Source organism: Homo sapiens, chromosome 1 (genome assembly GCF_000001405.40).
Source record: "Homo sapiens chromosome 1, GRCh38.p14 Primary Assembly".
Classification (NCBI taxonomy): Eukaryota; Metazoa; Chordata; class Mammalia; order Primates; family Hominidae; genus Homo; species Homo sapiens.
The window spans coordinates 62,100,317-62,117,847 of record NC_000001.11 but is presented as its reverse complement, the minus strand read 5'-3'; the positions used below and the strand labels follow the sequence as shown (position 1 = coordinate 62,117,847).

Here is a 17,531-nt window from a genome sequence, read left to right as displayed (position 1 = left end):
ACATGGGGCTAACCATACAGTCTACCATCTTGATTTTGTCAGCCATTACAATGAAAAAAATATAGTGAAATATACTTTGCTAAAAAAAAATGGCACTTACATCAGCTTTGCAAATAAATATAAGATGTTTGCTAACCCACAAAATATCACCCACTAAGCCCTCCCTCCCACAGGAAAAACCCCCACACTTGGTTCTCCTAGGAATATGCCATTAATTGCCCTCGGCATGTGTGAGTGGCTAGTCACAAGTTAACTTTATAGCAATATTTAATTGAATGAATAGAACAATGTTGTGCTAATGAGGGTCAAATTGCCACCAGATGTTGCCTTTTTTTTTTTTTAAATAAACACAGCTGTGTACATGCGTGCATAGGCAATATAGAACTAATAGAGAGAAAAGAGCTTCCAAGAAAACATTTGCAAGCAATAAAGGAGAGAAAAATCTAGGGATTAATGAATTTCCATCCCACCTTTCATTTTTATTTCAAACACATGAAAGTTCACTAAACTTGGTGCTGTGAATATGCTGTACATTAGATATTATTTCCAAACAACCATTTATTAAATGGGGAACTTTCTCCCAGTGGGGGCAGAAGAGTGAGTCAGTCTGATGAGAAGCCATCGACAACCTGACTGTTCTGTGATGTCGTCCTTGCGGAGGTCCAGGAACCAGCTCGGAGTCTTCCAATCTCTAGCTGCACAAGTCCCTGTGCACACTTGGAAAGGCAAGAAAAGAACAGAAATGAAAAGTAGTAGCATTTATATTCTGAAATATCTTAACAGAGCCTCTCCCTGCAGCCACAAATTATAAAAGGGTAATGAAAGCAACAGGCATAGCCCTAGAGAGAGGAGGATGAATTCTGTGGCTCCTGGAGGGCCCATCTCATCAAATGCATTTAAAGAACAGTGATGGATACTTAGAATTCTCACAAGTATGAAAAACTTGCTTGTGAAATCCCAAAGCAGGTTCCCTTTCATTCTGTTAGTCAATATAACAGAACTTTCTTTTAAAGCTATTCTGGCTCATTTAAAATAATCAGAGATTAAATTTCTAGTAAAAACTAGAGTTAGTATAAAATCCAACCCATTTTATAATCAAGCTAGACTGGAACAGTTCCCACTGGACTTCAGTTGTGCCAGCTGGGTAAAAAGCAGCCTAGCAACTCACCTTGAGGATGGTGGCCACTGTCTCCTGTGAGGCATTTCTCATGTCCTCCCCATTCACAGATAAGATCTGATCTCCCTGAATCAATCTCCCATCCAGGTCTGCGGCTCCGCCTTTCACGATGTCAGAAATAAACACTCCGCTTCCATTTCTGTTAATACCATACAGCAGTGCAGTATTGGCACAACCTAATATTTCCATGCATAATACGTGTGTGTGTGACAGGATGCACACACATATATGCTCCTTTCTTCTTCCAGTTTTGTTTTCTTTTTGTTTCTTTCATACCTTGGTAATTTGCCTTTATCAGCACTTGGAGCTTCCTCATTTTTTAAATAGCTACATACTATTCTATGATGTTTCATAATTTCACTTACCAGTAGCTTACTGATGGACATACAGGTTATTTCCATTCTTTAACTATTGCAATGAGCAATGAATACTTGTAAGTATATCTTTAAGATAAAGTCCTGGTGATGGAATTGTTAGTCAAAGAAAATAGTGACTTTTGAGAACTATACATCTCATCCTTTACAATGCAAGTTTTTGTGCTAAGGAATGTAAATGTTCCTTACAAACTCAACCTGAAATACTGACATTCACTAAAAGCAAAAAACATTGCTGTAAATAAAACCGCACCAGGTATACGCATGTGTCAAAACAAGAAAGCAAACTTCAACACTGGCTCTGTCAGTTGCTCTGCACCCAGATGTGCACTGATTTTTGTTTAGAAATGTAAGAGACTCAGCTTTTTTTGTTTGGTAATGCATTTTCAGAGTGATGGTTCTATGGTGCTGAAGTAAAAAAAAATGAAATTATGACAGCACAATACTTGGCCCAAAATCAGTACTCAAAAATTGTAGCTAATATTTTTATTTTAATAACAGCTTGGCCTGCTGGACAGACACTAGGCTAGTCACCAGAGGTCTGTGAGGGCATATAACATAACATGCATAAAAGCAACTTGATTTCTTCCTTAACAAGATGGTTGATACACTTTAAGGCCATATTAGGATATTACCTGGAAATCCTATAGCCCTGTTGGGATAAATACATACTAGATACCTAAAAGCCAGTAAACCATGGAAGCTAGGCTTTGTTTCAAGCTATTACTTACCTTTCCAATTCACTGCAAGAGAAACTTAGTAATATTATCCTGGAACAAACGACTGTTAAGCAGTATAGACTTCATTTTTCTTTATTTAAAAAATTTTTTTAGAGACAAGTCTTGCTATGTTGCCAGACTGATATTGAACTCCTCACCTCAAGCGATCCTCCCAACTCAGCTTCCCAAAGTGTTGGGATTATAGACGTGAGCCACTATGCCTGGCCTAGGCAACATATACCTCTTTTTATTTATTTATTTATTTTTGAGATGGAGTTTCGCTCTTGTTGCACAGGCTGGAATGCAATGGCGTGATCTCAGCTCACTGCAACCTCCACCTCCCAAGTTCAAGCAATTCTCCTGCCTCAGTCTCCCAAGTAGCTGGGATTACAGGCGTCTGCCACTATGCCTGGCTAATTTTTTGTATTTTTTAGTAGAGATGGGGTTTCACCATATTGGTCAGGCTGGTCTTGAACTCCTGACCTCAGGTGATCCACCCACCTCGGCCTCCCAAAGTGCTGGGACTACAGGCATGAGCCACTGCATCTGGCAGCAACATATATTTCAAAAGAGTAGCCTGGCCACTAGGATCTACCTACCTACATTTTTGGTGCAAACTATTACTTTGGGGACATCTTTCTTTTTTCCTTTTCTTTTTTTTTTTTTTAATTTACAGATGGGGTCTTGTTATGTTTCCCAAGAGGCTCAAGTGCAGTGGCTATTCACAGGCATGATCATAGCACACTATAGCCTTGAACTCCTGGCCTCAAGTGATCTTCCCACATAGCTGAGACAACAGGTACATGCCACTGTGCCCAGCAGGACATTTTTCTTAATAGAAAACTACTATCGTGAAGAATTATGTTTATCTCTTAACTATGTCTACTCAACTAGTTTCAACATAGTATGAAATTAACAGTATCACGAAAAGCAATGTTCCATGTTAATTTCCATGTCGAAGCAATGTTCTTGACCCAACATTGGATAAATCTCATTCTTGATGCTAGCTATTTCTTGGGTATGGTTGCTTTAATCAACCTCTGCAAAACTCCGATCTTAGTAATTCCAAGTGAAAGAACCTTGCTAGTTGTTCTTACTCTGTACAGAAATATATCAGTCTGGATTGATTGGACTTGGAGTTCTATCTTGATATGACAATTTTTCTGGTAAGACCTTGCTCAGAAATATGACCCATGTTGTCAAATTTTCATAAATATCTTATTTTTAGAAATCCCATCACTACTTTACATTAGGCTTTCTCTTTCAGTGTTCACAGGCATCAGAGCTCTGGATGAAAAAGGCAGATCCCAACTCCCACAGCACGTCTTTACCGTTTCCCAACGATGCTCAGGCCCAGGCCCCGGCCAGCTTTCTTCTGCAGATCCACAGGGAAAATCTCCAAGTTCTCCTCATCCCGGTAGTGTGCCTCATCTCTATACACCACCAGCCGCACCTTCTGGGGGGTCTGCCTCAGGGCTGTGATGGCTTCTTCGTGGCTGGAGTTCCTCAGGTCAACCCCATTAACCTGGAACAATGGGCATCCTGAGCTGGGCTGCTGATGGCAGAGGTCTCTGCCTTCTCTGTCTGCTGAATCTCCTTGATCTAACCAGTAAAGAATCTCTAGAAATTTCCAGCCAATCTCAAGGCAAACAGGTAGTGACCACAAGCAGTATGAGCTGCTTTGAATATAAAGGAGATGGCCCTTAAAATATCCTACCCAACATGTGCACAAAGGGTGGATACATGATAATGCAATTTTACATAGCTATAAACTTTACTGTGAAATCAATGAAAGAGACAGGAGAGTGTGCATGCAGGGACTTAACTAGCTCATTTAATTGAGATAAAAGGGAAATAACTATTAATGTTTAGTCAGCATTTTTAGATTCAGTTTGCTTATTGGATATGACATCTTCACTCTCATTTATTTGTTTATTTTTTTAGATAGGGTCTTGCTCTGTTGCCCAGGTTGGAGTGCAGTGGCATGAATGCTGGCTTACTGCAGCCTTGACTTCCCAGACTCAAGTGATCCTTCAACCTCAGCCTCCTGAGTTTCTGGGACTGCATGTGTGTGCCACCATGTCTAGCTAATTTTTTAAATTCTGGAGAGATGAGGTCTTGCCATATTGCCCAGGCTGGCCTCAAACTCCTGGGCTCAGGTGATCCTCCTGCCTCGGACTTTCAAAGTGCTGGGATTACAGGCATGAGGCACCATGCCTGGCTGACATCTTCACTCTTATTTGCTCACATCACAACGACTTCATAACAGGCCCAGAAGGAGATGAGGGAACAGTATTTCCAACAGCATCCAAGACCCCTTGAAGTCTTCTCACTGGAATCTGGTTCTCAGTGAGCACAGACAGGACCATGCATTAGAAAGCAGTGTACCGAAAAGAGCACTGAGTAAAGCCAAGTCATGTAATCTCTGAGCCTCTGTTTCCTTTTCTGTTAAATAGACATTATAGCCAAATTATTTATTCTTTAACTTAAATACTTCTGCAGTGCTTGTGTGCTAGTCCTTAATGAATATTTACTCATTTAATCCTTATACTAACTCTCTGAAATAGATATTGTTATTATCACCATTCATAGAGGAGGAAACTGAGGCACACAGAGGTTTAGGGACTTGACCCAGGTTACACAGCTAGCAGGTGGAGGAGCCAAGATTGAAACCCTTCCACCCTCAGTTCCTATTCCATGCTGCCTCATCATTAACTCTTAGAATGGGTTACTGGAGATCCCCTGTCACAAAGAAAGTCAAATACTGACATTGGTTAGTAAATTTGATATGAGGGAGAAATCGAGGAGCAGAGTAACCTTGGATTCAAAGGAAAGAAGTCAGAGGTGGTGATTCCCTCAAGGTTGCAGCTAGGAAAAGAGTCAAATGAGGGGAAGGATAAGTCCAGCCCACCAGGCAGATGGTAGAGTGCTTGAGCTCCCCCAAGATGTCAGTTCCATTCCTTATTCTGGTCCAGCCCTGTGTGCTACTGGAAGGTCAGGCCAGCCTCTGAACCTTTGTTCCTTTATCTGTACAATGAAGCAATGGTCTAAGGCTTTTTCTTTTTTTCTTTTGAGATGGAGTGTCACTCTGTCACCCAGGCTGGAGTATAGTGGTGCGATCCCGGCTCATTGCAGCCTCCGCTTTCCGGTTTCAAGCAATTCTCCAGACTCAGACTCCCGAGCAGCTGGGATTACAGGGATCAGCCACCACGCCTGGCTAATTTTTGTATTTTTAGTAGAGACGGGGTTTCACCATGTTGGCCAGGCTGGTCTTGAACTCTTGACCTTAGGTGATCCACCAGCCTTGGCCTCCCAAAGTGCTGGGATTACAGGCGTGAGCCACCGCACCCGGCCCCCAAGGCTTTTTTAATTCTAACATTCTAAAGACTAAGGACCAGTGGCATAAAGAATGGTTACGGGAAAGGAGAAAGGAAGAATGAACCCTTCTTGGAGAAGGTGACTTTTGAACTGCCATTTAAAACTGATTCTGTGAGCCAACCAAATGTTTAAAAGCCTAATTTCCAAGCTGCTGTTTATTTTCTGGTATATCTTGGTGGCTTGTGTGTTCACTTAGATGAGCTACATCCAGAATAACAGTGGTAAAGAACATGGGTTTTGGGCTGGGCGCGGTGGCTCATGCCTGTAATCCCAGCACTTTGGGAGGCCGAGGCAGGCAGATCACGAGGTCAGGAGTTCAAGACCAGCCTGGCCAACACAGTGAAACCCCGTCTCTACTAAAAATACAAAAAATTAGCCAAGCCTGGTGGCAGGCGCCCATAATCCCAGCTACTTGGGAGGCTGAGGCAGGAGAATTGCTTGAACCTGGGAGGCGGAGGTTGCAGTGAGCAGAGATTGTGCTGTTACACTCCAGCCTGGGCAACAGTGTGAGACTCTGTCTCAAAAAAAAAAAAAAAGAACATGGGTTTTGGATATAGATGCACTTCAGTTTGAGTGCTGATTCCAACTTCCTGGCTATATGAAACCCTGTGTAAATTACTTAAGCCAAACTTTTGCCATGTCATCTATGAATTGGAGGTAATAATATTTACTTAGTGTTGTGAAGGTTAAATGAAATAAACCCTGTAAATCATTTGGCACAGGGCTTGGCACACAGTTATATCCAATGTAAGTTAGAAGTTGGTATTTTACAAGGAATTGAAGTAACTTCAGTGAAGGCTGTTTTTCCTCTCAGCATGATCATTCACTGCTACTTTAGGCCAATGAATACATTTTCATTGTCTGTGAATGAAACACAAAGAGGAAAAGTGTATTTCCAGGAAATGTGGTCTGAGTTATTTTCCTGTATTCCAACAGATGGCACACAAGACCACTTCTGTCACTCAATAAAAAAAACCCAGTTACCTCTATGGGTTGAAGGTGAACTTTCTAAGCCTCTAAATACTGTTCGAAAGGCCCTAACAAATATACTTTTAATTAAAAGCATTGTCATTAAGCTCTAATATTACAAAGCAATTTCTATTAAATTCCAGCATGACGGTATCTGCTCGGATGGAAGTGATCTAAGTTCATGGTTTCCATTTGCTCCTCTGAGAATCAGGAGATACCACGAAATGTGCCGATAATCATGAGAGAAATATCATGGCGTGGCTAGAACATTGTGGGGAGATGTATTATGTAAGTGCCTTACAGAAGCACAGTATGCATTATTTAGAACATTGGCTGTAGAGGAAGAGGGGTGGAAATAGCAGGGCTTCCTATTTGAGAAGAAAGGCTCCAGGAAGACCCAGTAGTCAAAGGGAGACTACCACATCCCTTGGGTGGAAGGGCCATGTGGGGAAGTGGGTGAACACAGTTCTTGAGAAGGAAAGAATAACAAAGCTAGTGCAGCAGTTCCTCCACATTTTATTGCATAGGGAAAATCAGACGTTAACTCTCTACTCTCTTCTGCTCCCACTTGCAGACTGCGGGGAGGGTATGAGAAGGAACTGGCCTAAAAGGAGAACCAGAAAGGAGACACAGCTGACGCTCATCATATTAATAGAATCATAAATCTTGCCATGCCAAAACATTATTCGTCCCTATCTTTGGAAGCAAAATCTGGCATGTTCTAACCTTAACATGAGGATAGTATTAAAACCATGAAAGGCCAATTTGCGGAATGCGGAGGACTCTCACGAGTGCAAAGGGCATTGTTTGGGAAAGTGCTGATGTAGTGTTACGCTGTTTCATGGTCTCAAAATATCCCACGAAAACAGGCCTGTCTTCTCAAGGCCTCCTGTGGGTCACAGGCTGCCGATGCCTCATCACACATTTGTACTCATCAGCCACAACCAGAACCAGTCCAATGTGAATTAGAAAGCTGTTTAGAAAGGAAACACGTTCCCTGACCAAACTGAGAGCTGTATTTCTTAGCTAAACAAGTGTTAGACTCTCATGAACTAGACCTTGTCTGAGGTAAGAGAGGAGCCTGTACTGGCCATCTTTAATGAGACGTATAGGCCATCCATTCAGAATAGATAATATAATGCTGCCAGTTGCCAGGAAACTGTTAACTTGATTTTTGAAAAATTCTCCTCTCACTTAAAATAAATTTGCTTTATTCAGGTTAACCTTTACTGGGTGTTTGCTTGTACTTGAATATACTTTATAGAAGAGAGCAGCTACAGAGGGTCTACCTAATACAAACAGAAATAGTTTAAAAAAATCCTTATTGAGGTATAATTGATATAAAATAAACTGCACAAACTTAAAGTGTACAATTTGATAGGTTTTGCCAGATGGGTACTTACACCTGTGAAGCCATCACCACATTCAAGATAATGAACATGTTAGATTTAGTTTCAAGTGACCATTATAACTTGCGGACTTAGAAATCATATAAGTATCAAGGCATATGTGCCATTTTAAATATTTAATCTATTCATCTTAAAAAGCCAATTATGATAACACCAATTGATTTGAAAATCTAGGGAGGGAAAAACAAAGAAACCCCAAACTCCTGACTGCTAAAAAACCATGTTGTATGCTAAGGCAGTCAAGCCAGCTCCCAGAGAGGTCTTGCTTATTTTTCTAACCTCATACACTTGTACCTTAATGAATGTACTGGGAATATGTCTTAATCCAATGATGAAACACAGTAAAGGCCTGCAGAGAAATCCTGTAACTTGGGCTGAATTTAATTTGCAATCAGCCTGGCCTCTCCTTTAACCCCTTCTCGCCTATGTTTCCTGCCCTTAATTATATCTCTGGTTTCATCTTGGGAGGCAGAAATGAACCACCAAAGGGAAAAATAAAATTCTATGATGTCATTTGTAAGTGCTATATTAAAGTTGCAAAGCAAAAATGCACATGCTCACCATAAAATGCCAACTATTCAATTAAGTTCATTCAATGAAAAAAAAAAAAACGTGGCCTAAAGGTTTCACACCATCGAGAAAGCTCTTTAGTTCCACCTACCAGAACGCCTGGCATCGCCTTCTCCTTCAGCCATTCCATAGTGCAGACATTGCCTGCTTTGGTACTTTTTAAAAGGCTTTAACAACTTTGCTAAATGAGAGTCAATTTGAAAAAGTTAAGCATTTCAATTTTTAGTAAGCATCATAGGGGGAAGATTTTACATTTTCATCAACTTGAAAACATTGGTGGCAAGGCATGAACTTCCATTTGGCATAAAGATTTATTAAGATTAAGAAAATATGATTTAAGCTGCCATAAAATCTTTAAAATATCAGGTATATATGTGTATGTGTATGTATCTATATGTATGTGTTTTTAGGAGGAATTTAGTAGGGTATAATGGAGAGGCAAAAAATTTGCAATATTATATAGTCTCATTTGATATTAAAATAATAGACCCATAAGTTCTATTTTTCCTTTTAGTTAAAAAAAGTTTTCATAGACAAATGTAGATTGATAACCTGTCATGATTCTAAACCACTGTATAATGTACACTGAAGAAAAAAAGAATATGATAAGTATTTTGTTAAATGGGAGAGGAATCAGTGAAAATACAGTTGAGTAGAAAGACAACTTTATGGATCGAGACCAGCAAAGGAACCACATTTACTGATATAAAATAAAATTCAAAACCATATACCTCTAATATCTGGTCACCAGCCCAAAGTCTTCCATCTCTGGCTGCTGCCCCTTCTTCATAGACTTCATGGATAACTATAGCATTCTATAAAAAATAAAATCTTACTCATTTTCAACAACCACAAATGCTTCCTTAAGCAAACAACCAATAGGCAGCAACCCATAATTTTCTATTTGTTAATAATGTTATATTTTATCTGACATAAAGATAAACAATATACACAGTTATGATATATTCAGAGGTATAATTAAATTTTCCTAAGATTATTATTTCATTCCTTTAAAACTGGCTCTGCCTAATACTTCATGTTAAAGTTCTTCCATGTGTTTTACTGTTAACCCTGTACATTGCTGCTGTGTATGAACTTGAGGTGAACTATGTGTCATTCTTATTTACATTTTATAGTGTATTTTGAAACACGGTTTCAGGTATTTATTGGTATTCTAGGATTTGGCATAGATGTGTGGCCTGATGAAGGAGGTTTTGCCAGGCCTTATTACTTGGGCAATGAAAGAAAAGAACTTAGTGGAATGAATGGGTCCTGGAGGAGAAGAAAACAGGAGCAGGGGAAACAGCATTCATGGACTTAAGTGTGAAACAGCCATGGGTTCAAATCCTGACTCTGCCTTCTTGTAATCTTGGGCAATTAATTCCTCTGAACTCAGCAATCTGAGCCATAAAATTAGGACAACAATATCTACTGTAGGTAAGCTTTGGTTGGGAAAAGTGTTTCATAGTTAATGAATTAAAAAATAATTTGTATCTCTTCAGATTCATAACCTTAAAAATTATTTATCATCATAAAAATGACATGTACCCACGTATAGGATTCAAGTAATACTACCACAGGTTGTTGCAAAGCACAAAAATAGACTGCTTCCCACCCAGACTCAGTCCCATCAATCACCACTCATAGTTTCCAAGGATCTCTCCAGACAATTCACATTTATGCACCCAAATATTTATATATTTTGATGAGAGACTATTCTAAAAATATTAAATTGAGCTTGCCCACCCTCATCCCCCTCCTGTTGAGCAAGTAGTCAAGCTTTGAAATTCTTCGCTTTGGGGATTTTTGTGGAGCTGAAAACTGAAGTAACCAGAAGTCATTGGCTCTTTCTGTTTTTAATAGAACCGAAGAGTGCTGAATGGATTATGATAGGTGTCTTAGAGGGCTGCTGAGAGAGGGACACAGCTTCTCCTTTTTTTTTTTTTGAGATGGACTCTCACTCTGTCGCCCAGGCTGGAGTGCAGTGGTGCCATCTTGGCTCACTGCAAGCTCCGTCTCCTGGGTTCACGCCATTCTCCTGCCTCAGCCTCCTGAGTAGCTGGGACTACAGGTGCCCGCCACCACGTCCGGCTAATTTTTTGTATTTTTAGTAGAGACGGGGTTTCACCGTGTTAGCCAGGATGGTCTCAATCTCCTGACCTTGTGATCCGCCCGCCTCACCTCCCAGAGTGCTGGGATTACAGGTGTGAGCCACTGCACCCAGCCGAGAGGGACACAGCTTTTGAGTGGAGATTAGAAACAGAGGTCTATGGGTCCCACAGTGGGGATTTGAGTCCTGCAGTGCCCAGGGTCCTCCTATTCCTTGCCCCCAGTGCACACACACAGGTTTTAAGACCCTGCTGGCAATGGTCAAGGGCTGACATCTTTGACACTTGTCAGAGCCTAGAGGCTGACACCTATAGGACCCCAGGCATGAAAGAAGTCAAGCAGCAGGACTTCTGGACTTGAGAGATCTTATAGGCTTGGCCAAGAATAGGCTTGATGATGAGCAGGCAGTGCTGATGGCAATGACCACAGGGGCGTCATCAATGTCTGGGTGTTTGGTTGGTACCCTTTGGAGTTAACGAGCCACCAAAATGGCTGAGGTTGAATTTCACCTTAGTCCAGAAGTATGGAGCCTCAGAATTAAGTTCATATGAAGTAAAGAAATGAATATTTCTTGCAAAAATGTGACAAGATAGACAAAATACACACACCTACCCACACTCACACCCACACCAAACCTTGTTTGTTTGCTTTTTAACTTAAAAAATTTTTTTTGAGATTGCATCTCCCTTTGTGGCCCAAACTAGAGTGCAGTGGCTCAATCATAGCTCACTGCAGCTTCGACCTCCCGGGCTCAGGTAATCCTCCTGCTTCAGCCTCCCAAGTAGCTGGGACTATACGTGTGCACAACCATGGCTGGACAATTTTTTTTTTTTAAGTAGAGATGGGGGTCTCACTATGTTGCCCATGCTGGTCTCAACCTCCTGGGCTCAAGCAATCCTCCTGCCTTGGCCTCCCAAAGTGCTGGAATTACAGGTATGAGCCGCTGTGCCCAGCCATATATATATATATATATATATATATATACACACACACACACATATACACATGTATATATGTGTGTTTGTGTGTGTGTGTGTGTGTGTGTGTGTGTGTGTGTGTGTGTATATATATATATATATTTTTTTTTTTTTTTTTTTAAGAGGAGTCTCACTATGTTGCCCAGAACTCCTGGGCTCAAGCGATTCTCCTGCCTCATCCTGGGAGCTGGGACTACAGGCATGTCCCATAGCACCAGGCTTACTTTCTATTAAAAACAAAATAACAACAGAAAAACAAAAAAAGGGCTTCTATACAAATTCCACAATAGAGAAGCAACAAAAGAAAACAAGAGGTCTATAACTAAATAACCCATCTGGATTCCAAATACTTTTACAATGCTAAATACCGTACTTTCATTTTATCACTATACAGTTCTGAAAACATTCTTTATTACAGCAATTAGAGAGGCAGCCCCCAAAAGCCAGGAAAAGTTTCTGGATCCAGACAATTTACATTTCAGATTCTGTACCAGGAATACATTTTAGACCTTTCTTTGTTTTAACTCTGATTTATGAAATTTCCAGACCCAGGGAGTGTTTACACTGCTAAGAGTTTGTTTCTCTGAACTGTTTCAGGGGAATGATTTGGAGGAAACTTGCGGGGTCAGTGGCTTGCGGTGATCCCTGCGACACTAATGAGATCCTACCAAAGGTCATTTGTATTAAGGTAGTACGAGGAGAAACTAATGCAGACTCCTGGTAGCACCCTGTAATGATACTGGTTTTCAAAGTTTGGTCCCCAAATACCCTATTTTCACTGGATTGAAAGAGTCACACACTACACTCGGACTATGCATGGCTTTTACAGAATTTGATTTTCAGCAAAAACTCCTTTGATCTTGGAACATTACAAAAGGCAAATAGAAAATTTCTGTTCACTCGTACTCAAAAGAAAGAAAAGACCCCCTTGGAATTTTTATTCCATAAAAGCGGTCTGAATTCAAAATCCTTAGATATTTTCTGGCGCTCAATGAACTATCCTACATAAAGGATGCCAGTGACCCTAAAGGAATAATATATTAATAGTTTCAAATGCTGAACTCACTGCAAATGATCCATTTTTAGTCCGTAAGTCTTTCTGTATTTAAAATTCTCCATTTCTTTCTTTCTTTTTGTTTGACTGCTACTGTAATTCCTCTTAAAGTTATTAGTGAAGGCTGGGCATAGTGGCTCACGCCTATAATCCCAGCACTTTGGGAGGCCGAGTTGGGTGGATCACTTGAGGTGGGTGGATCACCTGAGGTCAGGAGTTCGAGACCAGCCTGGCCAACATGGTGAAACCCCGTCTCTACTAAAAATACAAAAATTAGCCAGGCATGGTGGCACGTGCCTGTAATCCCAGCTACTCGGAAGGCTGAGACAGGAGAATCACTTGAACCCGGGAGGCAGAGGCTGCAGTGAGCTGAGATCACACCACACTCCAGCCTGGGCAAGACAGAATGAGACTCTGCCTCAAAAAATAAAAAAATAAAAAATAAAGTTATCAGTGAAGATACAAGAAAATACGAGACACTGTGACCTGTCAATAGAAAACGGCCACATTTCTTTTTTTGTTTGTTTGTTTTGTGTTTAATTCATCTAGTGTATTTAGGGGAAAAAAAGGCCACATTTCTTATTGTGTGCCCCTGTAGTCTATGAAGCTGTGGTTCTGGATAATTACATTAATTGGGGGTGAGAGGTGGAAGGTGGGGACCAAGAGCTAAATTAGAAATGTGGGCTCGTGAATTCAAAAGAAAACCTGATTTATGTTTTAAAACATGCAATTCAGAGAGTGGAACAGAAGAGTAAAAAAGATACTGGGTTGGGATATTTTATGCATCTACTTTGTGAATAGATGGAATAATAGGTCATTAATGAAAGACTGACCTTTATTACTTTAAATTAAAAATTTGGTGTTGATTATGCATATGATGCTTATCTCATCATTGGATATCCTCCTAAATTTTAATGCTCTTGAATTATTCAAGCAAAACTGCAGCTCTGAGTGCCTTCTCCCCTACCCGCCCTCCCTTCCTATCTCTGCATATGTAAATAACATTCCAAAACCCAAGACCTCAGTGACTCCAGCCTACAAATACCAGTGATTTCTAAAACTCATCTATTCCAAAAGCAGTCCATTAATCAACCCACTCTGCAGGTGGCTTGCTGGCTCACTCTGAAGACAGGCTATAGAGGCAAAGGATTATGAGCTAGGCTTCTGGAGTCAGACTTCTTTGGTCTAAATCTTGGCCCTGCTACTGTTGGCCGTGGGACTTGGGGGGAAGACTGTTAACCTCCCCAGGGCTCCGCTTTTTAGATGGTTTTAACAGTATTATCTACCAATAAGGCTTTACGTACAGTGCGAGCACACAGTAAGGAAGCGATAGATTGCTTTTTTTTTTTTTTTGGGTTGAGACAGAGTCTTACTCTTTTGCCCAGGCTGGAGTGCAATGGTGCAATCTCGGCTCACTGCAACCTCCACCTCCCAGATTCAAGTGATTCTTCTGCCTTGTTCTCCCATGTAGCTGGGACTACAGGCATGTGCCACCATACTCGGCCAATTTTTGTATTTTTTAGTAGAGATGAGGTTTCACCATGGTGGCCAAGCTGGTCTTGAACTCCTGGCCTCAAGTGATCCACCCGCCTTGGCCTCCCAAACTGCTGGGATTACAGGCATGAGCCATTGCACCCGGCCAGGTAATATTTTTAATAGCACCTGTCCATTCTTATTTATTTTACATCTATGTGCCATAGATGCTACACACTTCCCATTTGTCCAATTTAATCCTCATAACAACTCATCAAATTCAGTGTTATTAGTTCCACTTACAGCTGAGGAAACGAAAGCTCATAAGGGTTCAGACTTGACTAGGTCTCTGCAGCTTCTAATTAGGAGAGATGAAATTCCATCTCAGGATTGTTTAACACCAAAGCCTGTACTCCCACCACGATAGTAAGCTTCTCATCTGTTTTGAATATTTGATTTTGTACTTGTACAAAAGCTAGCTTGGGATTTTCCATATGGCATCAATTCTGTTGAAATATTGTCACCTCAACTCCACAGCAGAAACTTGAGGGCGTGAGTTGATTATTTTACAGAGAGTGAACAAAAAGATGACTTGTGGAAGCAGAAGTTGAAGCCTTTGACTTAATGAGGCGAGGCGATGATCTGTAGATCTCACTAGCTAGTGCTGGCACATGGTTAGGGGTTTGCACTACAGAAAGCATGATGCATAGGCCCCCTCCCAATCTCCAACAGAGTCCCTCTCATTTGTTATTCTTTTTTTTTTTTTTTTTTTTTTTTTTGAGACAGGGTATTGCTCTGTTGCCCAGGCTGGAGTGCAGTGGCATGATCTTGGCTCACAGCAAAGTGGGCCTCCTGGGCTCAAGCAATCCTCCCATCTCAGCTTCCCAAGTAGCTGGGACGAAGGCGTGTGCCACCACACCTGGCTAATTGTGCTTTTTCGGTATTTTTTGTAGAGACAGGGTTTTGCCTTGTTGCCCAGGCTGGTCTTGAACTTCTGGGCTGAAGTGATCCTCTCACCTCAGCCTCCCAAAGTGTTGAGATTACAGGCGTGAGCCACCACCACGCCTGGCCCATTTGTTATTCTTATCTCTTTCCTTCCTTACCTTCAGCTTTTCAGTCCTATTTCTGTGCACCTATATTATTCACTTAATGATTTTTTTCTAAGACAAATACAAAATATTACAATAGATACAAGTGATACATTGATGTTCAAAACAAAAAGTTGTTTAGCCCAAGAAAAAAGATTAATTTCTATCAATTAACGGCACAGAACTGAGGATCATTTATAGGTGATCAAGACTGACAGAGTCAAAAATGAATTTCCTCCTGGTAGTTGTGTGATTTTCACTGGGACAACAGAAATGTAAGTAAGATGACCTGTTTATTTACTGCTTCAGACAAGACCAGTGATTTCCTTTTGAACGTTTTATTTATTTATTTATTTATTTATTTATTTATTTGAGACAGGGTCTCGCTTTGTTGTCCAGGCTGGAGTGCAGTGGTGCAATCTTAGCTTACTGCAGGTTTGACCTCCTGGGCTCAAGTGATCCTCTCACCTCAGCCTCCTGAGTAGTTAGCACTTCAGGCACATGTCACCATGCTCCGCTAATTTTTAAATATTTTGTAGAGACAGGGTCTTGCTATGTTGCCCAGGCTGGTCTCAAACTCCTTGGCTCAAGTGATCCTTCTGTCTCAGTCTACTAAAGTGGTGGGATTACAGGTGTAAGTCACTGTGCCCAGCCTGGATACTTTAAAATTATTCATTTGACTTGCCAACTCAAGAGCCAGTGAAGAACATAATCAGTGAAAGGGAGAATCTCCCAAATAGTGGTTTTCTCATAGCCAGAAGGGTCAGACAGGATTTGAGAGACATGGGAAGTCTTCTGCTTAAAAACTTCTCCCTCAACAGTCTGTCTGAAACACCTTTAACCAAGGAAAACTCCCTTTATTCCACAATTAAACACTTAAAACATCAAATCTTTATAAACATTTAAAACATTAAAGAAAAAATGGACAACCAGGAAGAAGTAGCTGGCTAGCAAATTCATCATGTTGCTTAAGAAACTACTATCTTTAGGCTGGGCACAGTGGCTCACGCCTGTAATCCCAGCACTATGGGAGGCTGAGGCAGGCAGATGACCTGAGGTCAGGAGTTTGAGACCAGCCTGACCAACATGGTGAAATCCCATCTCAACTAAAAACTCAAAAATTAGCTGGGCGTGATAGTGCGTGCCTGTAGTCCCAGCTACTCAGAGGCTGAGGCAGGAGAATCACTTGAACCTGGGAGGCAGAGTTTGCAGTGAGCCGAGACTGTGTCACTGCACTCCAGCCTGGGTGACAGAGCGAGACTCTGTCTCAGAAAAAAAAAAAAAAAAAAAAGAAAAGAAAAGAAACTACTGTGTTAACGTCTCCATTCCTAAGAGAGTATTTATTTTTAAACATGGATAATGTATGCACATGGTACCATACTCAAAATAGTATTCACTGATAAGTATCTCTCTAGCACTTGTTCCTCAGCCACCCAATTTCTCTATCTAGAAACAAGCAGTATTAAGTTTTTTGTGTATTTTTGTGGAGATTTTCCATATATCTATATTTGAAGTATAGGCTACCAAGTGCTTGAGGGTTATGCTTTCTTTTATCTGCTACCTCCTTTGTTTCATGAAATTCTACAAGTGCCACCTCTTCTATAACACCTTCCCTAACTCCCTCCCCTGATAAAGTTGATTGATCCTTCTTGTGAGTCACCACTACGTAAGTTCATTAGTACCACTGAACTTATCACAGCATCATGAATGTCTGTTCAGGGCTCTATGTCTTGCGCCACCTCCCATCCTTGATGGAAGCCTTCAGGACAGAGGCTGCTTCCAACTCATCTTTTTATTCTGGTGCCAAGTCCAGAGTAGGCACTCAATAAACATTCATTAAATGATTGTCAAGAAATTGGTTGGAGATAGATAGAGGTTACAATGACTCAGAAAGGGGAGGCTGGAAAAGTTAGTGTGTCATAATCTTACTCCAACCAAAACCAATTGTATGGTATGAATGTACCCTCCAAAATTCATGTTGAAATTTAATTGCCATTGTGACAGTATTAAGAGGTGAGACCTTTAAGGCGTGATTGGGTAATGAGGGCTCTGCCCTCAAGGATGGATTAATGCTGCTATCTTGGGAGTGAGTTCCTAATAAAAAGAGTTCAGCCCCCCTCCCTCTCTGCCTCATGTGCTCACTTGCCCTTCAACTTCTGTCACAGGATGATGCAGCATGAAGGCCCTCACCAGATGCTGGCTCCATGCTCTTGGACTTCCCAGCCTCCAGAACT

At 41.0% G+C, this 17,531-nt stretch overlaps 1 protein-coding gene across 19 annotated transcripts in view; it reads right to left on the bottom strand.

The window, feature by feature from the left end:
- Positions 1-17,531, bottom strand: part of PATJ (PATJ crumbs cell polarity complex component) — a 421,436-nt gene that overhangs the window by 46,068 nt on the left and 357,837 nt on the right. For 7 of the 19 annotated variants that reach the window (XM_011540462.4, XM_011540467.4, XM_011540465.4 and 4 more), the window contains 5 exons: positions 17,440-17,529; positions 9,328-9,411; positions 3,602-3,795; positions 1,169-1,316; positions 630-716 (listed from right to left, as the gene is read on the bottom strand). In XM_011540462.4, the coding sequence (XP_011538764.1) occupies positions 630-716; positions 1,169-1,316; positions 3,602-3,795; positions 9,328-9,411; positions 17,440-17,529 (603 nt within the window). Of the gene's footprint in view, positions 1-629; positions 717-1,168; positions 1,317-3,601; positions 3,796-9,327; positions 9,412-17,439; positions 17,530-17,531 lie in introns of those variants that run through there. The other 12 variants (XM_011540466.4, XM_047424287.1, NM_001350145.3 and 9 more) reach the window with 4 other exon arrangements.